The sequence below is a fragment of the Homo sapiens genome, chromosome 11 (assembly GCF_000001405.40).
Source record: "Homo sapiens chromosome 11, GRCh38.p14 Primary Assembly".
NCBI classification, from domain to species: Eukaryota; Metazoa; Chordata; class Mammalia; order Primates; family Hominidae; genus Homo; species Homo sapiens.
In genome coordinates, this window is record NC_000011.10 from 417904 (window position 1) to 444225 (window position 26322).

The following is a 26322-nucleotide window of genomic DNA, read 5'->3' on the forward strand; positions in this document are numbered from 1 at the left end:
ACCCGGGACCCAGCGAGGCCAGGAAAGCAAGACAGACAGGCTTAATTTTACTGCAGAAACGGGTTGGCTGAAGGGAACAGGCCAGCGAGGTGGGCTCAGGACACCCCCAACAGCCAGGATGGGGGCACGGCAGGATCTGGCGCCCAGAAGTCAGAGGGAGGCCCAGGAAATTTGCGCCAGTTTTCCTGCCTTGTGGCTGCCTGAGGAGCCCTCACTCCCAGTTCTGTGGGTGCCCAGGGTCACCCAGAGTTCAAGTCAGGGCTGTGCCAAGCCTGAGAGCCCCCACAAAGACGGAGCAGGCGGAATAGGGTGGCAGCTCACAGCCCTGAACATACAGGGGATTCCTGCGGCCCCACATGGGCACAGCCTTCTCACAGCACCCCTCAACACGCACAGCGGTGGGCTTGTGGGAGGTGCTGGTGGTGGCACTGTCTCAGCTCCTGGTGGCCTCTGGACGGGCTCTGGCCCTACACGTCTGTGCTCCTGGCACTGAAGATGGATGCTGGGGTGGGATGGGCAGGCATTGGGGGCCGAGAGCCTGCCCCCACCCCACCCAGCCTCTGCCTTCCATGCCACATCTTCTCACGCAGCCTCTGGTACTTCACCTCCAGAACCTTGTTCTTCACCGACTGAGGGATGTCGGGCACGAACCAGGCGGCGATGAGCTTGATGCACAAGGCCACGTGCTAGCGGCAGCACAGGAGAGGCCCAGCACGGTCAGGTGCCAGCTGGCATTTGGGGGTTCAGGGCCGGGGAGAAGGACTGGGGAGAGCACTGCCCAGACCCACTCCGAGGCCTCTCCCGGTTCTGGCTCACCTCAAAGAGGATGACGAAGGCCAGGCGGATGGCCAGGAGGAACCAGAACTGCTCGGAGAAGTTGTAATCGGGGGGATTGCGGTAGTCCCTGTATCTGGGGTAAGGAAGTACCTGAGGTCAGGGGTCAGGAGTTCAGAGGGCATTCTTGGGGGATGGGGAGTTCCAAACCTGCACAGAGTCACGTTTTCTGAGCCCTCAATCCCATCAGGGTCCTGGAAGTCCTTGGTGTGGAAGACGGACAGGCTGTGGTTGACGTAGCCCTTGAGGCAGCTGGGGAGAGGGGAGAGGAGTGTGGGGTGGGGTGGGCTTCCAGGGCGGCCCCTTCAGGCCCCAGAGTGCTTCTAGCCTGCGTTGTGGAGCAAACAGTGAGGTGGGGGCCACGCCACAGACTGCGTCCAGTGGGACGGGGCTCCCGGGCCAAGCACATCTTCACATCCGGGGGCCTTGTGGGGACTGTGGGGACTCTGGGCATCACCAGCCACTTTCCCTGCCAGAGACTGGCCCTGGGGACCCAGTCTGCAGTTTGGTGGCTCCTCGAGGTCAGAGAGCTGGATAAATCAGAAGAGGACATGCGGAACCTCACATCGGGAGGGAGCCGTTCTGGCAGGGCCTACTCAGGAGGCAGCCAGGTCTGGGAACTTCACCCCCAACTGCGGTCCTGGCCAGTTATCCCTGACCTCCAGCCCAGGGCCTGCCGTCAGTGGGCGCAGGGCAGGGGCCACCCCCAGGCCCCAGCCTCACTAAAGCCCCAGGGGTACCAACAGGTCCAGCCATTCCCAGGAGAAAGGGTCTGGATCCCCCAGGGCTTGGCTGTGGTAGGGCCAGTTTCTCCCAGGGGTCTCCAGACACCCTGAGGCCTTACTCGACAGTAGAGTTGCCTTCTTTCAGGCATGGGCTATAGCGGTACTTGTAGACCACTCGGGGGATGAACTCAGATGTGAAGGCAATGACCATCCCATTGGCAATGACCGCCAGCACACCGATGGTCTCCAGCACCTGCAGCCAGGTCCCTGCACCAGAGCAGTGGGCAAGCGGTCTGACTCAGCGTCCCTCGGCTGGTTCTGCCCTCACCCCCACCCCCGGCCAACACGGGGCCTGCCGTGTCTCTGTGCGTGGTGTCCCCTTGCAGCCCTAGGGCTGCAGTATTCACAAGGAAGTCCCCAGCCATGGCAGAGCATGGCCTCTGCGCTCCTGCACCCCTCACCCTGACATGGACAGGGAGGAACCTGGGAATCCTCATCCTCCATCTTCCTGAACTTCTCAGCTGTGCCCCCCAGCCACTCCACCTCCTGGGTTCCCACCCCAGGGTAAGACCTTGTAACCTGGGCCCGAGACTGGGGGCCTCCCTAACACCTCTCTCCCTTTCCCCACATCCAGCGCCCCAGCTCCCGTCGCTCCCCTGCTGCCTGTCCGTCTCAGCGTGGCCAGTCTTGGGACAGAGGCCGGCTGCTCTGTTCCAGCCCCAGCCACTGGCAGAACCTGGGTCCCCCTTGGGGGCGTCAAGCCCCTCTGAGATCCTGACGGTTTGTGGGAGGAGCCTACAAAGCGCTCGGCCCCGCCCACTCCTGGTACCCTCCCACCCAGGCTCAACCCGCATCCGAGGCCGTCGGAGAAGGGCTGGGGGCTGTCTGCGGCCTGAGATCCGAGAGATTATTTTTTCCAGGTGAGCCGGCCTGGCCAGCGGGAAGCCCACAGGCCTGAGGCCGCCCAGTTCCCGCCCATCCTGCGCCCGCCCGGTCTGACCGATGTCCTTGGCCTTGCGCGGCACCAGGCGCCGCTGCAACCAGACCATCTTGATGGCGTCCAGGCGGATCTCCACGAGGTTGCTGAAGAGCGCGAGCAGCGGCGCCAGCGGGAAGGCGGCCACGAAGATGGTGGTGAAGCCGTACTGGATCACTGCGCGGTGGGGGTCAGGCTCACCGGCGCCCCGCACTCATGTCCGCGGACCCCCGCCCCGCATTCGTCTCCGCGAACCCCCGCCCCGCAGCGCCCACGCACTCATCTCCATGAACTCGTCGAACAGGCTGAAGGTGTTGACCGGGTTCAGAAGGTAGTTGCGCCGCCAGTCCCTGAGCTCGGGGTCCCGGGGCAGGTGCCCGGACTCGGAGGCCCGCAGAGAGCGGCACTTGTGGGTCACCCACCTGCGGGGAGAGCTGCGTGGCAGGGAGGGCGCAGGGGGCGGAGGGGCCTGGGGCTCCCGGGGCTGGGCGGGGGTCGGCACTCACGGGACCAGGTACTCGACGCAGTTGCTGAGCGTCTGCTTCAGGCCCATGATGATGGCCATCTGCACGAAGAGGTCCATCATGCAGCCGCTGGCGTGGCACTGCGGGGCCAGACAGGAGGAGATCAGGGAGGGGTCCTGGGGGACGGTCAGGGGAGCAGTGGCTCAGGGACAGGGCATGAAGCCTGGGGGTGACTGACCTCTTCCAGCTTCCACAAGCCCGCCAGGCGCGTGGACTTCCCGGGGTGGCCGTTGATCCTGGGGAGGAAGGGGAAGTCTGGGGCACTGCGGGCAGCGCCCTGCCTCTGACAGGGTGGGTGCAGCAGGACAGAAGCGGGTAGGAAAGACACAGAACAGGCGGGGCAGGCCCTGCAGGTGAGCGGGGCACAGGTGCTCACACCCAGATGAACCGCACCCGCACGTGGGCACGCACACACACACACACACACACAGGGGAGGCCACAGGCTCCCAGATGAACCGCACCCACACGTGGGCGCGCGCACACACACACACACCCCCACACAGGGGAGGCCACAGGCTCCCAGACGAACCGCACCTGCACGTGGGCGCACACACACCCACACACACACAGGGGAGGCCACAGGCTCCCAGATGAACCGCACCCACACGTGGGCGCGCGCACACACACACACACCCCCACACAGGGGAGGCCACAGGCTCCCAGACGAACCGCACCTGCACGTGGGCGCACACACACACACACAGGCAAGGCCACAGGCTCCAACACACGCTCCAGACAGTGTCTGTTACGAGTGGCCTCGGTTTCTCCCCGTGGAAACGGCACGATGGGTTATTTTGTGTTTAAAATCACCTGCTTTCCATAATATGAGAAATACATGAACTATCTTAAACCAAAAGTCAGGCTCATGGTCAGTGGTGAAATCCCAAAAGCATTCCTATTGTAGCTCACGACAACTGGTATTTAACACGGTTCTGGAATTCCTTGCAAATAAGCAAGAGAAATATGAAGTATAAATAGTATACATTTGCAAAGAAAAAAATGACTCTTTTAGAAAACATGATTATGTACCTGGAAAATCAAAATAAAACAACTGAAAGCCTGGGTGGATAAATCAATCGAGTGCTCAAGTGGATACAAAACGAGCATCCAGCAGAACTGGCTTTTCCGTGTGCGGCAAAGCTGCGGGGAAACATGGCATGAGAAAGTATCGGTCACCCGCAGACACCAGCACAAGTTATACCATAACGAGACTGAAACTCACAAGGCATCTGTGGGGCCTAAATGAAGAAAACTATAAAACTACCAAGGAGCATGAAAGACTTGCAGGGAGAACCTCGTTCTCCCATAAGAAAACGGAGGATGTATTTGTAGTCAGAGCGATGGGCCGCAAAGACGTCCACGTGCTCATTCTTGGAGCCTGTGACCACGTTCTTACCTGGCAAAGGAATTTTATCTCACAAGGCAGATGGTATTAAGGCTGCTAATCAGCTGACTTTAAGACGGGGAGATTATCTTGGGTTATCTGGGTTTTTCTGGTGTAATCACAAGGGTCCCTCTGTGGGGACAGGGAGCAGCTGGGAGCTGGCCTGACTCAGAAGGAATCAGAAGGACTCAGGACTCACTCAGAAGGACTCAGCCCCACGCTGCAAGCTCTGCAGGGGGAGGAGCAGCCGTGCACCAAGGAGAAGCTGAAAGTGAATTATCCCCTGGAGCCTCCAGAAGGAGCCCAGCCCTGCTAACCCCTTAGTTTTCACCCAGTGGGACTCATCTAGGACTTGTGGCCTGCAGAACTGGGAGGTAATAATTTGATTGTTTGAAGCCACTAAGCTGTGGTCGTTTGTTATGGTGATTTTCTTGGAAATAATGTATCATTTTACTTATACAATCTTAAGCCAAGTCCCACAGAATTTTTTTTTTTTTTTTCAGACAGAGTCTTGCTCTGTCACCCAGGCTGGAGTGCAATGGCATGATCTTGGCTCACTACAACCTCCACCTTCCGGGTTTAAGTGATTCTCCTGCCTCAGCCTCCTGAGTAGCTGGGATTACAGGTGCGCGCCACCACGCCTGGCTAATTTTTGTATATTTAGTAAAGACGGGGTTTCACCATGCTGGCCAGGCTGGTCTCGAACTCCTGACCTCATGATCCGCCCACCTCGGCCTCCCAAAGTGCTGGGATTACAGGCGTGAGCCACCACACCCAGCTAGTCTCACAGAATTTTTGGCAATTTGACAAAATGATTCTGACATTCATCTGAAAGAATAAACATATGTAAATAACCATTAAAAAAGTAGAAAAGAAGAGTGATGGACAGCAGCTAGCCCCACCCTACAGCAAGGCATAAAGCAATAATACCCAGCACAGCAAGGGGCTGGTACTGGAATTGTCAGAATCCATGAGAAGACAATATATAAGCAAAGAATGGAATTTGGTGTATGACGAAGAAGGCATTTCAAGTTAAGAATGGTGATGGGGATGGTTAGTCAATCAATGGTTTGGGGACAACTGGGTGCCATTTGGAAAACAAACAAACAGCCTTCCTTCCTCTGCCCCTTGCAGCAAAACAAATTCCTTACAAGTCAGGGATTTGAAGGTTTAAGGGTTTTTGTGACAGGATCTCTGTCACTCGGGCTGGAGTGCAATGGTGAGATTATGGCTCACTATAGCCTCCACCTCCCAGGCTCCAGCGATCCTCCTACCTCAGCCTCCCAAGTAGCTAGGACTACAGGCCCAAACCACCACGCCCAACTAATTTTCTATTTTTTGTAGAGACGTGCGGTGGGGGGTTTGGGGGCAGTGGGTCTCACTACATTGCCCAGGCTGGTCTTGAACTCCCAGCCTCAAGTAATCCTCCTACCTTGGCCTCCCAAAATGCTGGGATTACAAGCATGAGCCACTGCACTCAGCCAAATGTTTAATATTTTGAAATCATAAACATCTAAAGGAAATCACAGTTGAATACTCACACACACACACACACACACACACACACACACACACATTTGAGATGGAGCCTCACTCTGTCACCCAGGCTGGAGCGCAATGGTGCGATTTCAGTTCACTGCAACCTCTGCCTCCTGGGTTCAAGTGATTCTTGTGCCTCAGCCTCCCGAGTAGCTGGGACTACAGGCTCACACCACCACGCCTGGCTAGTAGAGACGGGGTTTCTTCATGTTGGCCAGTCTGGTCTTGAACTCCTGACCTCAGGTGATCTGCCTGCCTCAGCCTCCCAAAGTGCTGGGATTTCAGGCATAAGCCACTGCACCTGGCCCACAGTTGAACATATTTATTAATCTTGAGGAGTGGCATGAAAAAATAGAACCATAAAGGAATACTGTCAAAAAGAAAATTTGCTCTAGTGTAACATGAGAAACCAGGTAGATTTTTCACGCTGTTTTCCGAGAGACCTCCCCATGCAAAGAGGCACAGAACTAAGCTCTAGAGCCAGACTTTGTGGTTTTTATCTGTTCCGCCACCCACTGGCTGTGTGTCCTGGAGATAATTTCTTAACCTCTCTGGTCCTCAGTCATCTATTCTGTAAAATGGCAATGAGAGAAGCTCTGCCCTATAGGGCTACTGTGCAGATTAAATGAGTTAATGATAGAATGTGTGAGTGGGCAATGGATGTAGCTACTATTATACAGACCCATCTCATCCATCAAGAAAAATCAATTCAGTTCCTTGGTCTTTAATACGAATGAATAACCACAGAGATTTACTCACAGAGGAGTAAGAGGAGAATAACGATTAAAAAACAAAAATGGACCCTTTAGGAAACAAGAGATAATTAGGGAACAGATGAGAACTCAGGGAGAAGGAAAACCTAATTGAAATCCTCAAGAACATAAAAACACGGAAGGGATGCTGTGAATAAAAAATAAAGAGGAAACAAAACACTCTTAGAAATTAAGACTTTAATTGTTAAACGTAAAACAAAGAAATCAATCGATGGAGAAAAAGGCACAAAGTGAAGGAAATCTCTCCAGATGTTACAAGGAGGAGACATGGACACGGGACGCGCGGGAGGAAAAGGCGGCGCGGAGACGGGACGCGCGGGAGGAAAAGGCGGCGGGGAGACGGGACGCGCGGGAGGAAAAGGCGGCGTGGAGAGACGGGACGCGCGGGAGGAAAAGGCGGCGTGGAGAGACGGGACGCGCGGGAGGAAAAGGCGGCGTGGAGAGACGGGACGCGCGGGAGGAAAAGGCGGCGTGGAGAGACGGGACGCGCGGGAGGAAAAGGCGGCGTGGAGAGACGGGACGCGCGGGAGGAAAAGGCGGCGTGGAGCGACGGGACGCGCGGGAGGAAAAGGCGGCGTGGAGAGACGGGACGCGCGGGAGCAAAAGGCGGCGTGGAGAGACGGGACGCGCGGGAGGAAAAGGCTCCCAAGGAAGATCTCTGGAAGAAAAGGGACTCCGTGCAATACACGATGTACCACAGAGAGGCTGGATACAATTGATAAAGACATTCAAGAAAAAGAGGCAAGTAGAAACCCCAGGAGATGGATTGGAAGGCAGACAAAATCAAAAACAACAAAAGATAAAGAAACTCCAGGAAAAACAAAGAGCTGTACAATAAATGTTACAAATATGATGCAAAGTAAAACATACCATGATTATAAGAAACTGACAGTTAAAAAAAAAAAAAAGCAAGCAAGAAAGAAGCCTGGCCTTCATGCTACGATAACCTAACAAAAATGCTCCGATAATATGAACAGTCAATTCATAGGAAAAAAAATACAATGATCAGTAAATATCTGGAAAGATGCTAGACTTCACCAATAGTTTTTTGTTTTTTGTTTTTTGTTTGTTTGTTTGTTTTGTTTTTTTTGAGACGGAGTCTCACTCTGTCGCCCAGGCTGGAGTGCAGTGGCGCGATCTCAGCTCACTGCAGGCTCTGCCTCCCGGGTTCACACCATTCTGCCTCAGCCTCCCCAGTAGCTGGGACTACAGGTGCCCGCCACCACGCCCGGCTAATTTTTTGTATTTTTTTTTAGTAGAGATGGGGTTTCACCGTGTTAGCCAGGATACTCTCAATCTCTTGACCTCATGATCCTCGTGCCTCGGCCTCCCAAAGTGCTGAGATGACAGGCGTGAGCCACCTCGCCCAGCCCCTCACCAGTAGTTTTTTAAAGGCACTTTTAAAAAATGAAAAGACTTTGCCCATCAGCTCAAGATGGAACATATAGTTTCACACACTGTGGGTAGCTTTGTCACTGACACAGCCTTTCTGGAGGTCTCTTTAGCAGGATCTATGTTAATGTAAATGCAAACTCCCAAGTCACAATTAAAATGGCGACTGCAGGTGCAGTGGGTCACACCTGTCATCCCAGCACGTGGGGACACCAAGGCAGGAGGATTGCTTGAGACTGCAGGTGCGGTAGCTCACACCTGTTATCCCGTAGCACGTTGGGAGGCCGAGGCAGGAGGATTGCTTGAGCCCAGGAGTTCGAGACAAGCCTGGGCAACATGGCAAAACCCCATCTCTACAAAAAATAGAAAAAATTAGCCAGGCATGGTGGCACATGCCTGTAGTCCCAGCTATTCGGGAGGCTGAGGCAGGAGGATTGCTGGAACCAGGAGTTTGAGGCTGTAGTGAGCTGTAATGGTACCACTGTACTCCAGCCTGGGGCAATGGATCAAGATACTGTCTCTAAAAGTAAATAAATAAAAATAAAATGACAGGCTGCTGACACCCACTACCAGGCATCACCTTAGAGGTGTAAGGGAATTGGAGAGGCCTGAAGTCCACTCAAGACATCAGGCTTTCGGGGGAGACACTCAGGAAGCAACCCAGCCCTGCCAGGATCCCCAGGAAGCCTCGGGACTTGGGTACCCCTGGTGGCTTGGGGGCACTGATTAGGGGAATGCAGGCCCAGCTGGAAGGTCCCTGGGCTTCCTACCTGACCACAAAACCCCCTCAGGAGGACTAGAAGCTCACTAGGGGTTTGAACAACCAGGGACTCAGCACACAGGGTTGGACCAATTGACACTGAGGCCCCACACTGTCCTCCCCAACCCCAGCTGGCCTCCCAGCACATAGACAGCGTCCTTCTGCCTCCAGACAGGAGACCAGGGTTCACCCGCAGGAGCTTCCAGAGTGAGAGGTCCCACCAGGAGAGACGTGGCCCACAGCAAGCCATGGTGCACGCCTTTCCCAAGACGGATGGGGGTCAAGAACCAGCATCTACAGGGCCAGACGTGGTGGCTCACCTGAGGTCAGGAGCTCGAGACCAGCCTGGCCAACATGGTGAAACCCTTTCTCTACAAAAAATACAAAAATTAGCTGGGTGTGGTGGTGCGCACCTGTGGTCCCAGCCACTCAGGAGGCTGAGGCAGGAGAATTGCTTGAACCCAGGAAGCAGAGGTTGTAGCGAGCCAAGATCATGCTACTGCACTCCAGCCTGGGCGACAGAGCGAGACTCCATCTCAAAAAAAAAGTAAAGCTGCAGCCAGCATCCCTCTCACCTCGCCTTCCTAATTAGTGAAATGAGTCTTTCTGGCTCCATCAATCCATATGCACCTTTTTTTGGCCAGGTGCAGTGGCTCACGCCTGAAATCCTAACACTTTGGGAAACTGAGGCAGGAGGATCGCTCGAGCCCAGGAATTCGAAACCAGCCTGGGTAACACGGTGAGACCCCATTTCTACAAAAAATATTAAAATTAGCTGGGTGTGGTGGTGCACGCCTGTAATCCCAGCTACTCAGGAGACCCAGGAGGTCAAGACTGCAGTGAGCCAACATTGTGCCACTGGACACCAGCCTGGCGACAGCAAGACCCTGTCTCTGTCTCTCTCTCTCTCTCTCTCATATATACATGTATACGAGGATGTGTGGGCAGGCAGACCCAGGAAGACACCAAGTGCATTTTCAGCATAAAGAGCAGGTGCAGTTATTCCCAGGACAAAGCCATTTCTGCCAGTGCTGTTATGCGCCTGCAAATGCATGAAAAAGCCTGGGAGGCCACCAGACTGTCTTGATGCTACCTCGGGGCCCGGGATTCAGGAGCTGGGCTCACTGCAGGCTTTGCTCACATGTCTCTAGATTGGATTTCCACTTGCTCTCAGCAGAAATTACTTTTAAAATTAAAAGAATGGACATTGCCACTTTAAAGGCAGTGGAACAAGCCCTCGTGAGTTGGGTTGGAGGGAGCCTGGCGCCGGCCCTACCTGCCCAGGATGAAGGCGATGTAGATGAGAGACGAGAAATGGGTGAAGAACTGCAGTGTGAAGAAGCGGATGGTGAACCTGCTCTCTCGCTCCGAGAAGGTCCTGGGCATCTCTGGAATGGGACCGGCCCTCACCTCTCTCCCTGCTCATAGGAGAGGCCCTGGGGCAGCAGGAAGGGTCCCCTCCCCTGCTCTCTGACCACAGCCCCAAGGCCCCAGCCCTGAGTCCTCCCGCCGGGTCCCCCAAGAGGGTCTGGGGTAGTCCTCTCACCGAAGTCACAAAGCTTCAGGGCCACGCACCTGTTGATCTGCGGAGGAGGGCACCGAATGGGCTCACTGGGGCTCCGGTGGACCCCCCAGCTCGGGCCTGCCCTGCTCCCGGCCCCACCTTGGTCATGATGATGATGGTCACATAGTGCACCAGAGCCCCGGTCACCACCACGGCCGTGGTCACCTGCTCCTCCAGGAAGGGCACGGCCGAGCTGCTGAAGAGCGCGGAGGCCAGGACGCGGTAGACCACCAGGACGTGGGCCATGCCGATCATGAGGCAGATCTGCGGGACAGCTGTGGTGGGCGGGGGCCGGGGAGGGCATGCAGCCCGGGTCTCCAGCCCCACCGCGGTGTCCCCTGCGTACCATGAGCAGGGTCAGGACGAGGATGACGGTGCTGCGTAGGTAGGAGTGCTGGTATGGCCGGAGCTTGTAGTCGGGGCAGTTAATGAGCTGAAGTGCCATTTCCTCCTGGGGAGAGCACCGGGCAAGCCTCAGACAAGGGACACTCACCCCACATGTGGGGAGACAGACACAGAGACACACCTCACGGGTGGACAGACACGGGACACTCACCCCACACATGGGGAGACAGACACGGGACACGCACCCCACACGTGGGGAGACAGACACAGGGACACGCCTCACGGGTGGACAGACACGGGACACTCACACCACACGTGGGGAGACAGACACAGGGACACGCCTCACGGGTGGACAGACACGGGACACTCATCCCACACGTGGGGAGACAGACACAGGGACATGCCTCATGGGTGGACAGACACGGGACACTCACCCCACACGTGGGGAGACAGACACAGGGACACGCCTCACGGGTGGACAGACACGGGACACTCACCCCACACGTGGGGAGACAGACACAGGGACACACCTCACGGGTGGACAGACACGGGACACTCACCCCACACATGGGGAGACAGACATGGGACACGCACCCCACACGTGGGGAGACAGACACAGCGACACGCCTCACGGGTGGACAGACACGGGACACTCACCCCACACGTGGGGAGACAGACACAGGGACACGCCTCACAGGTGGACAGACCAGGACACACGCCCCACATGTGGGGAGACAGACTCGGGACACACACCTCAGACACGGCAGGCATATGTGGGCCGTGCAGGGCATCGGGCGCCAACAGCCCCTGCTCGGGTCGGCCTCAGCTGCGCTGCCAGCTCCACCTCACCTGTTCCTCGTCCCACACGTACAGGTCCCAGTGCAGGACCACGCGGGCGCGCTGCCGCTTCCAGATCTCCAGGAACACCGTGGCTGCGGCGGGGGCAAGGAGGGGCATCACTGCACTACGCCAGGTGGACCTCGGAGCTTGGGCTGGCACTTCCCCTGGCCCCGCAGAGGCGTCCCGCAGCAACTCACCCCAGAGAGCCATGAAGATGGCGAACACCACCGTGCCATCATTGTCAAAGAGGTGGGTGAGCTGGGGGGGTGATAGGTGGGCCGGAGAGGAGGTGGGTGAGCTGGGGAGGGGGGCAGGTGAGCCAGGGAGGGAGGCAGGAAAGCCGGGGAAGGGGGCAGGTGGGCTGAGGAAATGGGCGGGTGGGCTGGGGCTGGGCCTCCCCGTCAGCCCTGTGGGGAAAGCTGAGCAGCTCTGCAGGGCTCCAGGCCTTGATCTCCCCCGCTTCGGGTGGATGCACCGTTCCCATCTTCCGCAGGCCCTGGGGTGGACCCGGAGGCGACAAACCTTGGCAAAAGTGCAGGTTTCCGAGAGCCGCTGGTACCTGCGGCTGTGGTCGCCGAGGGGACACATGAGGATGTCGTGGGCCTCACAGATCTCCTTGCTGAAGGGGCAGGGATGAGGCTGGGGTCGGCTCCTCCAGGCAGCAGGGCCCACCCCGGCCCCCCATGCCCGGCCCCTGCTGCGGCCCACCTGATCTGGCTGGCCTCAAACAGCGAGAATCCGCTCAGAAAGACTAAGAGGCCCGTCAGGGCGGCCGGCACCAGCATGTAGGTGTACCAGCCCAGCCAGACGAAGTACAGGGCCACCTTTTCCCCAAAGTAGTTCCTGCAGGCAGCAGGGGTCAAGGCCAGCTGTCAGGGGGCGGTGGGGGAGGGACAGGAAAGGGATGGGGGTGGGAGGGGGCAGCAGGGGAGGGATGGGGGAGGGACGGGGTGGGAAGGGGTGGCGGGGGAGGGACAGGAGAGGGACGGGGAGGGATGAGGGTGGGAGGGCAAGGCAGGGGAGGGATGGGGGAGGGAGGGGGCAGTGGGGGAGGGACAGGGTGGGAGGGGGGTGGGGGAGGGGGTCTCTCTTTTGGTGGCATCAGTGAGTCTGAATGGGAAGCACATCTGTGGGCGTGGGGGCATCTGTGAGGGTGTGGGCAGTGTGGGAGCATCTTCTGGGTGGTGTGTGGGGGCGTTTACAGGAGGTGGTGGCTTCTGGGTGGTGTGTGTGGATGTCTGGGGGGTGTGGGGGCGTCCGCGGGTATCTGGGGGCTTCCGCGGGGGTGTGGGGGCTCACGCGGGTATCTGGGGGCGTCTGCGGGGGTGTGGGGGCTCCCGCCGGTATCTGGGGGCGTCCGCGGGGGTGTGGGGGCTCCCGCCGGTATCTAGGGGCGTCCGCGGGGGTGTGGGGGCTCCCGCGGGTATCTGGGGGCGTCCGCGGGGGTGTGGGGGCTCCCGCGGGTATCTGGGGGCGTCTGCGGGGGTGTGGGGGCTCCCGCGGGTATCTGGGGGCTTCCGCGGGGGTGTGGGGGCTCCCGTGGGTATCTGGGGGCGTCTGCGGGGGTGTGGGGGCTCCCGCGGGTATCTGGGGGCTTCCGCGGGGGTGTGGGGGCGTCCGCGGGTATCTGGGGGCTTCCGCAGGGGTGTGGGGGCTCCCGTGGGTATCTGGGGGCGTCCGCGGGGGTGTGGGGGCTCCCGTGGGTATCTGGGGGCTTCCGCGGGGGTGTGGGGGCGTCCGCGGGTATCTGGGGGGCTTCTGCGGGGGTGTGGGGGCTCCCGCGGGTATCTGGGGGCGTCTGCGGGGGTGTGGGGGCTCCCGCGGGTATCTGGGGGCGTCTGCGGGGATGTGGGGGCGTCCGCGGGTATCTGGGGGCGTCTGCGGGGGTGTGGGGGCTCCCGCGGGTATCTGGGGGCGTCTGCAGGGGTGTGGGGGCTCCCGCGGGTATCTGGGGGCTTCCGCGGGGGTGTGGGGGCTCCCGTGGGTATCTGGGGGCGTCTGCGGGGGTGTGGGGGCTCCCGCGGGTATCTGGGGGCTTCCGCGGGGGTGTGGGGGCGTCCGCGGGTATCTGGGGGCGTCCGCAGGAGGCGGGGCCGTCCGCGGGGTTCCTGTGCTCTCTTTGGGCAGCGTTACCTGATTTCATCAACTGGCTGCTCCCGGAACATGTGTCTCCACCGCGCCCACGTCTTCTTCAGGCGTCCCTCCCCCTGGCTCGGGTGACAGAGAGTGAGAGCCCCCATCCCAGGGTCCCACCCCAGGGCCCTCTCCAGGCCAGCCCACCCCTCACCTTGTGCAGGGGGAACCTGGCCTCAAAGACCCCGTCCTTCATCAGATCCTCGAAGGTCTCTGGGTCACAGGGGTTCACGAGTCAGGGGGAGTGAGGTGCTGGGAGAACCCTGCCCGCAGCGCCCCTGTCAGTGCCCCACCCCTGCCCTTACCACCAGCCGAGGTCTTGTTGTTCATGACAACGAAGTTCACGATTCGGATTCTGAGACTCAAGAGCCAGAGCAGGGTGGCCCCGTGTGACCACAGTGGACCCTGCCTCCAGGTCTCAACCTGCCCTCTGGTCTGGCCAGGCCCAGGCCCCTCCCTGTCCTGGCAGAGCCCCCAGCCTGCCAGCCCTGACCAGAGCCCAGAATCCACAACTCACCCGGGAGCCCACCCCGCACCCTCCTTAAAGTGCTCCCAGGGCCTGGCCTGCCCCACGGCGTCCAGGATGAGGCTGGGCTGGGGGCTCCTTCTCCTCCCAGCCCGTCCCTCCCAGAAGCCCAGACCACAGCCCGCACCTGCAACCACACCTCCCACCTGCGGGCCCCATGTGTCCAGAGCACACCCCAGCCTGCATCCGCACACACCCTCCTTATACCCTGGAGCTGTTCTGTTCCACTGTGCAGAGCAGAGACTGGGGCTCAGGAAAGGGAACGTCCCAAGGCCACACAGCCATGAAGCGGCACAGCCAAGCGTCCGACGGCAGAGCCGGGCTCCCAGCCTCCCCCTGTGCCTACAGACATGGCTCCTGGACACCCCAGGGCACGTCGCAGGTATGCGCCCCCCAAGCCTGCTCCCGTCAGCCCCCTCAAGCCACCTCCCCTCCTTTGATGCCGCCTCGCGACTCCCCAAGACCCATAGCTCTCTTCACGGGTGCCCTCCACTGCCTCGTAACCAATGCCAGGAGTGTCCTTGGCCGGTCCACCAAGCAGGCCCTGGCTGAGCCCTGCGGGGCCTGGATGGGGCTGGGCAGGTCATGGGGGCATGGAGGGCCAGGCTTGGAGGCTCCCTCCTGGGCTGGAGGACTGGGGAGAAGCAGGGCCTTAGGGAGCGAGGAGGGTGTCCCTGCTGGGCCTCTGGGTCTTTGCCTTGGAGGCCAGGGACGGTGTCCAGGAAGGGGCATCGGAACTGGAGAGGAGGGGTCTTCAAGAGACACTGGCCTTGATCCAGGAGGGGCCCCTGGGCCTCTGCAAATCCTGCCCAACCCCTAAGGCTGGCTGTGACTGTGTCCCCAGGAACACAGGCAGCCACACGGAGCCCTCAGAATGCTCTGAGCGTTGAGAACCACCGTGATCCTTTAATGGGATGGGGAAGCTGAGGCTCACACAGCCAGTGGGTCTCACACCTGTGGCCCCTGCCCTGAGACCACACGGCTGTCCTGCCTTGGCGACGCCTGGAGCCTGGCACTGTCTCCTGCCCGGTCTGGACCAATCACACAGGTGGCAAGGGGTTCTCCTGGCCACGGCTCTGGGTGCAGCCTCTCACCTCGTGGTGACCGGGATGGTGGTCGGCGCGGCCAGCTCGGCGTGGGGGGCAGGCCCCTCAGGCTCCAGGAGGAGAGTGCGGTACAGGCCAAAGACACTGTTGTCAGCACGGATCCCAAAGAAGACCTGTTTCTGGTCCCGGATCACCTGGGGGCACATGGGATCCTCTATCCCACCTCAGAACCCTCCCCGCTCTATCCCGCCTCAGAACCCTCCCCCCTCTATTCCACCTCAGAACCCTCCCCCCTCTATTCCGCCTCAGAACCCTCCCTTCATCTGCCGCTGTGGCCCAGAGCCACGGAGCTGCCTCGCTCCCCACGCCCCTGCTTCTCCCCAATCCTCCAGCCCAGGAGAGAGCCTCCAAGCCTGGCCCTCCGTGCCGCCATGACCGGCCCCACAGCCCTGCCCCTCGCTGGGCACCCGCCCCAGCCCCATGGCCCTGCCCCTCGCTGGACACCCGCCCCGGCCCCATGGCCCTGCCCCTCGCTGGGCACCCGCCCACCTTAATGTGGAAGCCCTTTCTCCTGAGCTCCTCCAGGAACTGTTGCTGCCGCGCCTGCCGGGGGTCTCTCTGGGTGTGACGTTGGGCCACGAGGACATAGTCCCACTGCTCGGAGGCCTCGGTCTGCAGGGAGGAGGCATGGGGCCAGGCGCAGGTGAAGGGGCAGAGCAGGGCCAGGTGGGGCCCGGGAGGGGCCCCCGGACACCCACCTCACAGGTGCTGATCTCCATCAGCGGGAAGCTGTCCCCTTCGGGCTCCACCAGGATCCGGAGGCTCTCTTCGCCCTGGGGGTTTGGGGGCAGAGAAAGGGATAGGAGGATGTGATTGGGGGCTAGATGCCCCTCATTGGCGGGTCCCTGCAGCGGACCACATGGTCACACACCGTCCCTCCCCACAAGGAGAACAGCAAAGAGTCCCGAGGAGATGGCTGTAGGCGGGTGACAGGCCAGAGGGCCTGCTACAAACAACCGACGAAGGACTGTGGAAACAGAAGCGCGTGAGGGGCTCCTACAAATGCAAAAGGGAAGACGCAGCCCACAGAGGCCAACGGGATTGCACAGAAGAGGAGCACGCTGAGCAGCCCACAGGGGAAGCGACGGGAACTCCAGAACAGCCAAGGAAACGCAGGTCAGAGGACCAGGAGACCAATGCACGGGAGAAGCCACAGGCGCCCCTGCACACTCCCAGTGCTGCGCGTATCAGAGCACGGGTTTGGAAACCTGTTGGACTGTTTTTAAAATTGAACGCTCCCAACCCCTGGCCTAGCCCGTCCACCCCTGGAGGTGCAGACGAGGGCACTCGCGGCGGCCCCATTTCACATCAGGTCCCTGGGGGCTGGGCAGATGGACACCATGCATCATGCCGCCCCCTCACAGGGAGGATCCTGCAGCAGGCAAGGTGAGTGCCCGCAGGCACAGTGCACGGGGCTCCTGCAGGGTGACGGGCGCAGGCACATCCCAGCAGACACAGGGACACGAGAGTCTGGGGCCAGAACCTTCCGGAGGAGGGGAATTTGCAGGGCCTCAGAGCATCCCCTGATATTTGTTAATTACTGAGGCAGTCTCCAAGCTGTCTCTGGCTGCGTCACACCTGGTCCCTGCACCTGAGTCCCTCCCCTCTGCCAGCCGCATCCTCGCCAAGCTCAAGACCTGCCTCCTCCAGAAAGTCTCACTTGACTGCTTGAGCCAGTTGGCCCTTGAGGGCTGCCAGGTAAAATAGAGGCCACCCAGTCACACCTGATTTCCAGATAAACAGCAGAAGGATATAGTATTGTAGTGTAGTGTAGTGTAGTATAGGATAGCATAGCATAGCATAGTGTAGTAGGGTATAGTATGGTATAGTCTAGTCTAGTCTAGTTTGGTCTAGTATAGCATAGGATAGCATAGCATAGTATAGCATAGGGTAGCATAGGGTAGTATGGTATAGTATGGTATAGTCTAGTATGGTATAGTCTAGTCTAGTCTAGTCTAGTCTAGCATAGCATAGCATAGCATAGTATAGGGTAGTATGGTATAGTATGGTCTAGTCTAGTCTAGTCTGGTCTAGTATAGCATAGGATATCATAGCATAGCATAATATGGTATAGTCTAGTATAGTCTAGTCTAGTATGGTGTAGTCTAGTCTAGTCTAGTATAGCATAGGATAGCATAGTATAGCATAGCATAACATAATACGGTATAGTCTAGTATAGTCTAGTCTAGTCTAGTATGGTCTAGTCTAGTCTAGTCTAGTATGGTCTAGTCTAGTCTAGTCTAGTATAGCATAGTATAGCATAGCATAGCATAATATGGTATAGTCTAGTATAGTCTAGTCTAGTATGGTCTAGTCTAGTCTAGTCTAGTATGGTCTAGTCTAGTCTAGTCTAGTATGGTCTAGTCTAGTCTAGTCTAGTATAGCATAGGATAGCATAGCATAGCATAATATGGTATAGTCTAGTATAGTCTAGTCTAGTATGGTGTAGTCTAGTCTAGTCTAGTATAGCATAGGATAGCATAGTATAGCATAGCATAACATAATACGGTATAGTCTAGTCTAGTCTAGTCTAGTCTAGTATAGCATAGTATAGCATAATATGGTATAGTCTAGTATGGTCTAGTATGGTCTAGTCTAGTCTAGTATAGCATAGCATAGTATAGCATAGATGCCCCAGTGATTGCATGGGACACGCCTACACCAAAAATGTTGTTTATGTGACATTGTGACATTCAGCTTGACTGGGTGTCTGTTTCTTTTTTTTTTCTTTTCTTTCCTTTTTTTTTTTTTTTTTTTTTGAGACAGAGTTTTCCTCGTGATGCCTAGGCTGGAGTGCAGTGGTACAATCTCAGCTCACTGTAACCTCCACCTCCCAGGTTCAAGCGATTCTCCTGCCTCAGCCTCCCGCGTAGCTGGGATTACAGGCATGCGCCACCACGCCCAGCTGATTTTGTATTTTTAGTAGAGACAGGGTTTCTCCATGTTGGGCAGGCTGGTCTCGAACTCCCGACCTCGGGTGATCCACCCGCCTCGGCCTCCCAAAGTGCTGGGATTACAGGTGTGAGCCACCACGCCCGGCCCTGTTTCTTATTTTGTTTTGCTAAGTCTGCAACCCTAGTCCAGGTCTGGCCTCCAGCCCCCACCCCACACACACACACCAGGAGCTACGGGTTCTGGGACAGATCTCCCTATTCTCTCTACCGTCTCAACCACAGAAGCCAGGAAATGCATCCAACCAACCACAGAACAGAAGGCTCTCAGGCAGGGGGTTGGTCCACGGCTAGTACCAGTCCTTGGCCAGTTAGGAACCGGGCCACAGAGCAGGGGTGAGCAGGGAGTGAGCAGGGAGTGAGCAGGAGGTGAGCAGGGGGTGAGCAGGGAGTGAGCAGGGAGTGAGCAGGAGGTGAGCAGGGGGTAAGCAGGGGGTGAGCAGGGGGTGAGCTGGGGGTGAGCAGGGGGTGAGCAGGGGGTAAGCAGGGGGTGAGCAGGGGGTGAGCTGGGGGTGAGCTGGGGGTGAGCAGGAGGTGAGCAGAGGGTGAGCAGGGAGTGAGCTGGGGGTGAGCGGGGAGTGAGCTGGGGGTGAGCAGGGGGTGAGCAGGGGGTAAGCAGGAGGTGAGCAGGGGGTGAGCGGGGGGTGAGCAGGAGGTGAGCAGGGGGTGAGCAGGGGGTGAGCAGGGGGTGAGCAGGGGGTGAGCAGTGGGTGAGCGGGAGGTGAGCGGGGAGTGAGCTGGAGATGAGCGGGGGGTGAGCGGGGGGTGCGTGGGGGGTGAGCTGGGGGTGAATGTTCCCACCTGGGCTCCATGTCCCATCAGATCAGCGGCGGCATTAGATCCTCACAGGAGGAGGAGGAAGAACCCCATTGTGCACTGCGCATGCAGGGATCTCGGCTGCTCCTTATGAGAATCTAATGCCTGATGATCTGAGGTGAGACGATTTCATCCCAAAACCATCCCACCACACCCACAGCTGTGGGAAAATTGTCTTCTGCGAAACTGGTCCCTGGTGCTGAAAAGGTTGGGGAGCACTGCACTAAGGCATCCGACGCCCCGGTCACAGGGAGATGGGCTCAGGTAGACACCATCTGAGCACCCAGTGCCACACTGCAGCCTCCCTGCGGGGGGAAGTTCTTGCCCTAGTTGGCCCACGGGGCTCACCTGGCCCTTCTGTCCTATCCTAGACCAGTAGTTCTTCCTGCCTCAATCAACCCTTCCTCTGACTCCCTCCTTGGCCTTCCCGACAGCCCACGGACAGATACCTGCACTCAGGCGTGGCCTGCCACACTGAAACTTCTCCCCCGTCCTGGGTTAGAGGAGAAACCTTCATCCTCCGACAGATATGCAGGAAGGGGCGTGGCACCTGCCCAGGCAGGAGAGGCACCTCTGTCTCAGCGCAGAGGGCAGCCTCCCTGGGGGGGACTGGTGGTCTGGGGGACGTGGGCATCACGGCTCCAGCTCTGCAGCTTGCCTCCGTAGGGGCCCGGGAAGTGTTGTGTTGGAGGGATTCATGGGAGAATGGCCCCTCACATGCCTGGCTTCAGACCCAGGATGAGGGTCCCTCCTCTGCCCAGAACCCCAGCTCCTCTGGCAGAGGCTGAAATTAGAGACCCCCTCACATCAGCCTGGGCCGAAAGTTGAAAGCCGGCAGGATAAGCCCAGACCCCTGAGAAGGAAGGGACGAGGCAGGGACCCCAGACCAGGCAGGACTTTCGGAGAAGCCTGGGAGAGGGGACTGTCCCTGGGGAACATTCTCAAAGGTGGGGGTGGGAAGCCATCGTTCACCCCAGAAATGAGGCACAGAAACCCCCTCCCCACCAAAGACACCGTGCAGCACTGGGGTGATGACCCCACGCCTCTGCAAACAGCAGGATCAGCCTCCCCTGGGGAATGGGGTGCAAAGCCCCCATCACTGACGTGGGCTGACAGGGAGCCCTCCCCCCAGGGCAGAGCTACACGCACACCTGGGGCGTGCCAGCCCCTGGCTGCCCTTAGCTGCTCCCTCGGACAAGGCAGAAGCACTAGGGCTGCCAGGTGTAGCCCCCGCCGACACACACAGCCAGACAGGTGGAGTCCCCCCAACACACACAGCCAGACAGGTGTAGCCCCCCCCCGACTCACACAGCCAGATAGGTGTAGCCCCCCTGACACACACAGCCAGACAGGTGTAGCCACCCCCTGACACACACAGCCAGGCAGGTGTAGCCCCCCCAACACACACAGCCAGACAGGCCTCAGGCTCCGAGACTCTGCTGCAGAACACTGGGCCCACCAGCCTCCAGGACCGGGCCGTCCATCTGTCCATCCGTCTCCAGGGCCAGTGTTTACGGAGCCACACCCACCGGCCCATCCCCCGGGCCACAGCCACCAGCCTACAGGACCAGGCCATCCATCTGTCCATCCGTCTCCAGGGCCAGTGTTTACGGACCACGGGAGCCTGGCTTCTCCACACCACCCTCGGGGTCTTCACAGGTGAGGGCTGGACCACCTGAAGTCACCTCCACTTCCAGCCATGCAGACTGTTCGGTTTATCCACAGTGAGATGTCTGGGACCCCCATGTCCCCAGTCCATGGGCCCCACCTCCGGGAAACTATGTATGGGCCCACAGGCTTCCAGCTCCCAGGGTAGGGACAGGGGCTGTCCCTACACACTCAGTCTGAGGGCCTCTGAAGCTTCAGCCAGCCTTGCCATCTGCAAACCCAGAGAGGGAGGCCGGCTCTGGGTGGACAGCCGGCCAGGCCCTAGCTCTGACGCCACCGAAACACCCCAGGCCTCAGTTTCCTCGTCTGTACAACAGGGTGTCCTCACCCCAGCCCCCAGGTCACCTCAGCGACGTGCAGACACAGGAAGAAGGTGGACAGAACCACACACTGTTCTCCCCCATCCTTCCTGTCCCACAGCCCTCACAGGTGACACACCCAGTACTCCAGGGCCCCAGGGAGTTTGTGGGGGGCTCTTGGCACCCCCATTGTGGGCATAGGCCAGCGTCCAGTGGGCAAGCCCCTGGTTCCCAGTGAGGAAGCTTCTGGAGACACTGTAGCCTGCAGGAGACCCTCCCTCCCAAGGGCTGGAGTGTGAGGACAGAGCTGGGGGTCCTGCCCATCCATCCTCTTCCCAGTCCAGCCTCCAGGTTGGGGGCAGGCAGAGGAGATGGTTGTGCAGATATGACCCCACCCTACTCCTGAGAGGCCTGGCCAGGGGGTCCCATGACGCACATCCCCCCAGCTGTGCATGAGAAGGAGCAGGCCTGGCCAGGGGGTCCCACGACGCACATCCCCCCAGCTGTGCATGGGAAGGTGTTTGGGCCTCATCTCCTCCTGAGGTCACGTCAAGCCTCTTGGCCGGTGCCCTGAGCCCTCTGGGATCTGGCCCTTGAGAACTTTACAGTTTCGTCATCCACAGAGGGTCCCCTTCTGCCCCACCGCAGTCCCAAGCATGGAGAGGCCCACCTTGTGAGCCACAGCGTCTCGCCTCTGCCCAGCCCACGCATCCTCTGAGCAAACCCTCCCCAGCTGGCTCTGCGCTCCTGAAGCCAGTCTTCTGCCCACCCCCCGGCCCCTCCAGCTGTCCAGTCTGTCATCTGTCAGTTCACCCATCCGTGTGCCCGTCCATCCCCAGACACTGACGGAGCGACCTGCGTGCAGCCCTCCCAGGCAGTGCGTGGCGTTCGTGGACGCAGGGGCGGGGGCCTACTTGGCAGGTGAGGAGGCATGGAGCTTGGCATTGTAGGGCAAGAGGTTGGCAAAAGGTGAGAAAATGGGGGCAGCATTCCCGGGAGAAAGAACATGTGTGGGCACGCCCTGAGAATCAGGGTGCAGTTGGTGTCTGGGACTCAGCAGTCAGCACCTCCCAGGGACTCAGCACTCAGCACCTCCAAGGAGGACTTGGTAGCTACTACTCCTGGTGACTCAGCACTCGGCACCTACGGAAACTGAGTCCAGGGACTCAGTCCTTGGTACTTCAGCTTTGCAGAAGCATAAAGGGCAAGAAGGGAGCTGCCAGAAGGGGAGGCTGGAGGTTGGCAGAGGCCAATCAGGGGAGGCTGCTAGGCTTCTTGGCCAAATGGAGAGCTTGGACTTCAGCAGGGGGCAGTGGGGAGCCATGGAAGGGGTTAGAGCAGAGGAAAGGCACGCCCAGATCCAGCCTGGAGCTGGGACTAGCAAGTCCTCCCCATGTCTGCAACTGTCCTTTTTGATCACCACAGGAGTTTTGACCTGCTCCGTTTCCGACCTGGACCGGTTCACCCCTCCTTAGGCAACTTGGTGGTCCCCTGCTCCTGGGAGGTCACCATACTGATGTGCGGACAGCCAGTCAGCCTAACACACTACAGCCCAGAACTCCCAGGCTCGAGCAACCCTCCTGCCTCAGCCTCCGGAGTAGCTGGGACCGCAGGCTCATGCCACCACGCCCGGGTTCCAGCAGTCCTCCTGCCTCAGCCTCCCGAGTAGCTGGGAGCGCAGGCACGCGCCACCACGCCCGGGTTCGAGCAGTCCTCCTGCCTCAGCCTCCTGAGTAGCTGAGACTGCAGGTGCATGCCACGACGCCCGGGTTCAAGCAATCCTCTTGCCTCAGCTTCCGGAGTAGCCGGGACCACAGGCATGCGCCACCAGGCCCGGCTGCAACTGTCTTTTTTGAAGGACTGATGCTCTCACTTCCAACAAACCAGGTGCTGCTTCTCCCAACCCAACCCCTGGCCAGCCCCAAGTCTCTCCTCTAACCCCCAGCATGGGAGGAAGGGGCTGGCAGAGGGGACCCTGAGCTCAGGCTAAGGGGCATCAGGTGCTGGGCTGAGCAGCCAGGGTGTCAGACCTGGATGTGGAGGGCCGAGGAGAGCCCTGGGCGGAGATGGAGCAAGAGGCCGCCGGCGCAGCCCACACGTGGAGGCCCTGGCAGGCCGAGAGGGAGGCTGGTTTCACTCCACACCTCACCACTGCCTCCTCCCTGGGCCGACCAGGTGCTGACCTGCCCAGGTGTTGGCCCTGGCCCCAGGTGACCTCTTCACTGGCAGAGGGGAGAAAGGATGTCTTTCTACGTGTTCACCTGCACTCCCTCCCCCAGAATCGGAATCCAGCAGCAGCAGTCAGCGCCCACCCCCAGAATCGGAATCCAGCAGCAGCAGTCGGCCCCCACCTGTGCTGGGCGGGGTCCTTGGGGAGCAGAGAGCCCACAGCCCGCCGGCCACTCTGCAGCTCCCAACCCTGGGGCAGCCTGCCTGGTGCCCACAGCCCGCTCCCCCTTAGGGGCCAGCTGCAAGGCAAAGCTGCCAGGTCTGGGGTCCTCAGCAGCAGCCCCCGCCTCGGTGGGCAGGCCCTCTCCATCTCGTGTTCAGGACTCTGGTAGAGGTTCCTGGCCCCACACACTAGCTGAGAGCCCAGCCCTGGTGCCCTCAGAATCCCGGGCTGGAGGGAGGAACGCCGCCCGCCTCCAGCACTTCCAACCCCCAGCGTGCCCCAGGAGTCCAGGAGGCAGCTTAGCTGAGCCGGGCGGTCACCCTCGCCTGACCGGGCAGCCTGCAGGGACCCCCCCCACACACACAGGCGCCTTCCAGGTGGGGCTGGCGGGGGGCTGGGGCCGGGGGCCCCAGGTGTGGGCGTGGCTGGGGGCCTTGAAGGTGTGGACCCTTTTGAGCGCAGGACTCACCTGCATGCTGGCTGTGGCCGGAGTTCCAGCTGGGGTTTGGCGGCCAGGAGAGTGGCTGCCAGCGGCGGGTGCTCCTACCTGACTTCCGCGTGGGGCTCGCCCCTCCCTCCTCCTCCTCCAGCGTCCTGCAGCTGCCGCGCCTGGGTGTAGTCGGGGCGGAGCCAGCATCCAGGCCAGGAGAGTACCCCAGCCCCTGGAGCCTGGGACACCTTCCTGGAGCCCAGATGGCGGGTCAGGGGCCAGAGGGGAATTCCTAGGCTGGAGTTCCCGGGAAGGGGGTTTCCACTGTGAGATGGGTCTCATGACACCTGGTCCTAGGGGGAAGCAGGATGGCACAGAGCCCCTGACAGAGCCAGCACCAACGCCCCCACTTGCCTTGCCTCTCTCACCCCCGCTCACACATCCCCATGTTCCCTCCAAAAGCATCCCACCCCAGGCCATGCCCCCCACCCCGGGCCACGGCCCCCCACCCCGGGCCACGGCCTCCCCCACCCCGGGCCACGGCCTCCCCCACCCCGGGCCACGGCCCCCCACCCCGGGCCACGGCCCCCCACCCCACAGGTCCAGTGCTGATTCCCTTAGAGGAGAAACTGGGGCAAGGAGGACTGACGACGAGACAGACTCCCAAAGAAACTGTCTGCTCCTACCCAAGCCCCTGCTTTCTGGGCCCCACTGGGGAATCCTTGGAGTCCTGGGGACACGTGGCTGGCCCCAGGCTGTGTAGACAACGGAGGAGGAGCCCTCCACCCCGCATCCCCAGTCCCTGAGCACGTTCTGTGCAGCCTGGGCTGAGGGCGGCAGCTGGGCAGGCTCTGGGTGTCCTGAGAGTGACCGTCCAGTGGAGTGCCCTGAGGAGGGAAGGGCTGCGGGGAGTGGGGGCCCAGGCCGTGGGCTGGCACACATTATCTGCAGCGTGTGTGGCGAGGAGTCTGCTTCTGAAAGCTGCTGCAAAGCTGGGGAGGCAGGGCCAGAGCTCCGCAGGCAGACGCTGTCACACGGAACGGCTCCAGGCCCACTGGGGCCAGAGCACCCCCCGGCAAGCCCAGCAGCCCTCTGCTGTGGTCCAGGCCCAGGGCCAACAGTCGGCTCTGGTTTCCCCAAGGGGTAACATGGTCCCACCCATGTTTCTCCTTGGGGGACCTCCTGGCAGGCTGGGATGGCAGCAGAGACCACAGCTTTGCCACTTTGGCAAAGACAAGCGAGTGAAGTGGTGGCCGAGGACCTGTGAGCTCAGATGGGGCAAATCCAAATGGAACACATTCAGATCTGTGTGCAAAATGGTGGTGGCTTAAACAAGCTGTGTATTTCTCCTATAAGTGAAATCTGGAGTTGGCCGGGCGCAGTGGCTCATGCCTGTAATCCCGGCGCTTTGGCAGGCCGAGGCGGGTGGATCACCTGAGGTCAGGAGTTCGAGACCAGCTTGCCCAACATGGTGAGACCCCGTCTCTACTAAAAATACAAAAATTAGCCAGGTATGGTGGTGCACGCCTGTAATCCCAGCTACTCGGGAGGCTGAGGCAGGAGAATCGCTTGAACCTGGGAGGCAGAGGTTGCAGTGAGCCAAGATCACACCACTGCACTCCAGCCTGGGTGACAGAGTAAGACTCTGTCTTTAAAACAAAGCAAAACAAAAATCTGGAGTTGGCTAGTCCTGGACTAGTATGGCCGAACTATAGTCATCAGAGACCCAGAATGCCTTCAGCTTGTTGCTCTGCCACCTTAAATACATGGTCCCAGCACCTGGTCCAAAATGACTGCTCAAGCTCCAGTCATCACATCCACGTTCCAGCCAGTGGGAAGAGGAAAGGGCGAAGGAGGGAACCTCACCCTTCACATGGTTAGTCACGTGACCACACTCTATGGCAAGGAAGCCTGGGGCATGTGAGCTCTTTTCCCATGGAAGAAAGCAGGGTAAGCGGGAGAGGGAACATCCGGCAGTCTCACCAGGGGGTCACAGCTGCCAAGTTAGATCTAGTTCAGAAACAGAATGTGCAAGGCTTGTTGAGTATGGGAGGAACTCACACGCAAGATCCACGTTCCCAGCCCCTGCACCGTCCGTGACGGGTGTCGCTCCCCAGTCCCCAGCTCAGCCCGCTCAGGGGTCTCTGTGCTCATGTTTTCACACTGTGTTAAAACAATCTTCGGCTGGGTGCGGTGGCTCATGCCTGTAATCCCAGAGCTTTGGGAGGCAGAGGTGGGTGGATCACGAGGTGAGGAGTTCAAGACCAGCCTGGCCAAGATGGTGAAACCCCATTTGTACTAAAAATACAAAAAATTAGCCAGGCGTGGTGACAGGCGCCTGTAA

General features: G+C 59.5%; 1 protein-coding gene, 1 long non-coding RNA gene and 1 pseudogene across 5 annotated transcripts, besides 8 other annotated features; 1 reads left to right on the forward strand and 2 right to left on the reverse strand.

The window, feature by feature from the left end:
* Window positions 35–24108, reverse strand: ANO9 (anoctamin 9). Of its 2 annotated transcripts, NM_001012302.3 has the most exons (23): window positions 24018–24108; window positions 16121–16195; window positions 15912–16034; window positions 15411–15556; window positions 14096–14151; window positions 13945–14003; window positions 13791–13864; window positions 12366–12500; window positions 12180–12276; window positions 11855–11915; window positions 11667–11749; window positions 10819–10923; window positions 10572–10736; window positions 10455–10491; window positions 10185–10296; window positions 3238–3295; window positions 3042–3139; window positions 2815–2957; window positions 2560–2712; window positions 1679–1826; window positions 985–1086; window positions 817–910; window positions 35–686 (listed from the first exon to the last, which is right to left on the reverse strand). In NM_001012302.3, the coding sequence occupies exons 1-23, from the start codon at window positions 24021–24023 to the stop codon at window positions 468–470; spliced, it is 2349 nt and encodes a 782-aa protein (NP_001012302.2). In that variant the 5' UTR covers window positions 24024–24108; the 3' UTR covers window positions 35–467. The 2 variants fall into 2 exon arrangements, with proteins under 2 accessions (NP_001012302.2, NP_001334811.1); NM_001347882.2 differs by having other exon boundaries at window positions 13791–14003.
* Window positions 2967–3828: an enhancer, noted in NCBI's record as "H3K27ac-H3K4me1 hESC enhancer chr11:420870-421731 (GRCh37/hg19 assembly coordinates)". NCBI's record gives its function as "activates a minimal SCP1, AML or CMV promoter by ChIP-STARR-seq in naive H9 embryonic stem cells {active_cell/tissue: H9 hESC(naive)}" and the evidence as "EXISTENCE:reporter gene assay evidence [ECO:0000049][PMID:30033119]".
* Window positions 10643–11842: an enhancer, noted in NCBI's record as "CDK7 strongly-dependent group 2 enhancer chr11:428546-429745 (GRCh37/hg19 assembly coordinates)". NCBI's record gives its function as "activates an origin of replication core promoter dependent on BRD2, BRD4, P300/CBP, MED14 and CDK7 cofactors, with strong dependence on CDK7, by STARR-seq in HCT116 cells {active_cell/tissue: HCT116}" and the evidence as "EXISTENCE:reporter gene assay evidence [ECO:0000049][PMID:35650434]".
* LOC105376506 (uncharacterized) lies at window positions 13921–22770 on the forward strand. 3 transcript variants are annotated; one of them, XR_007062542.1, is made up of 5 exons: window positions 13921–14698; window positions 16310–17120; window positions 19196–20848; window positions 21996–22077; window positions 22582–22770. It is a non-coding gene; the product is annotated as an uncharacterized LOC105376506 (long non-coding RNA). The 3 variants fall into 3 exon arrangements; XR_007062541.1 differs by lacking the exon at window positions 13921–14698 and having other exon boundaries at window positions 16089–17120; window positions 19196–19307; window positions 20692–20848; XR_001748090.2 differs by lacking the exons at window positions 13921–14698; window positions 21996–22077 and having other exon boundaries at window positions 16089–17120; window positions 22632–22770.
* Window positions 16199–16717: an enhancer, noted in NCBI's record as "H3K4me1 hESC enhancer chr11:434102-434620 (GRCh37/hg19 assembly coordinates)". NCBI's record gives its function as "activates a minimal SCP1, AML or CMV promoter by ChIP-STARR-seq in naive H9 embryonic stem cells {active_cell/tissue: H9 hESC(naive)}" and the evidence as "EXISTENCE:reporter gene assay evidence [ECO:0000049][PMID:30033119]".
* Window positions 22496–22790, reverse strand: RN7SL838P (RNA, 7SL, cytoplasmic 838, pseudogene; annotated as a pseudogene).
* Window positions 23882–23961: a silencer, noted in NCBI's record as "silent region_3005". NCBI's record gives its function as "represses an Ori minimal core promoter by ATAC-STARR-seq in GM12878 lymphoblastoid cells {active_cell/tissue: GM12878}" and the evidence as "EXISTENCE:reporter gene assay evidence [ECO:0000049][PMID:35858748]".
* Window positions 24006–24300: a silencer, noted in NCBI's record as "tiled region #223; HepG2 Repressive DNase unmatched - State 4:PromP". NCBI's record gives its function as "represses a minimal TATA promoter and a strong SV40 promoter by Sharpr-MPRA in HepG2 cells {active_cell/tissue: HepG2}" and the evidence as "EXISTENCE:reporter gene assay evidence [ECO:0000049][PMID:27701403]".
* Window positions 24006–24401: a biological region, named in NCBI's record as "Sharpr-MPRA regulatory region 223".
* Window positions 24132–24401: an enhancer, noted in NCBI's record as "active region_4274". NCBI's record gives its function as "activates an Ori minimal core promoter by ATAC-STARR-seq in GM12878 lymphoblastoid cells {active_cell/tissue: GM12878}" and the evidence as "EXISTENCE:reporter gene assay evidence [ECO:0000049][PMID:35858748]".
* Window positions 24709–25506: an enhancer, noted in NCBI's record as "H3K27ac-H3K4me1 hESC enhancer chr11:442612-443409 (GRCh37/hg19 assembly coordinates)". NCBI's record gives its function as "activates a minimal SCP1, AML or CMV promoter by ChIP-STARR-seq in primed H9 embryonic stem cells {active_cell/tissue: H9 hESC(primed)}" and the evidence as "EXISTENCE:reporter gene assay evidence [ECO:0000049][PMID:30033119]".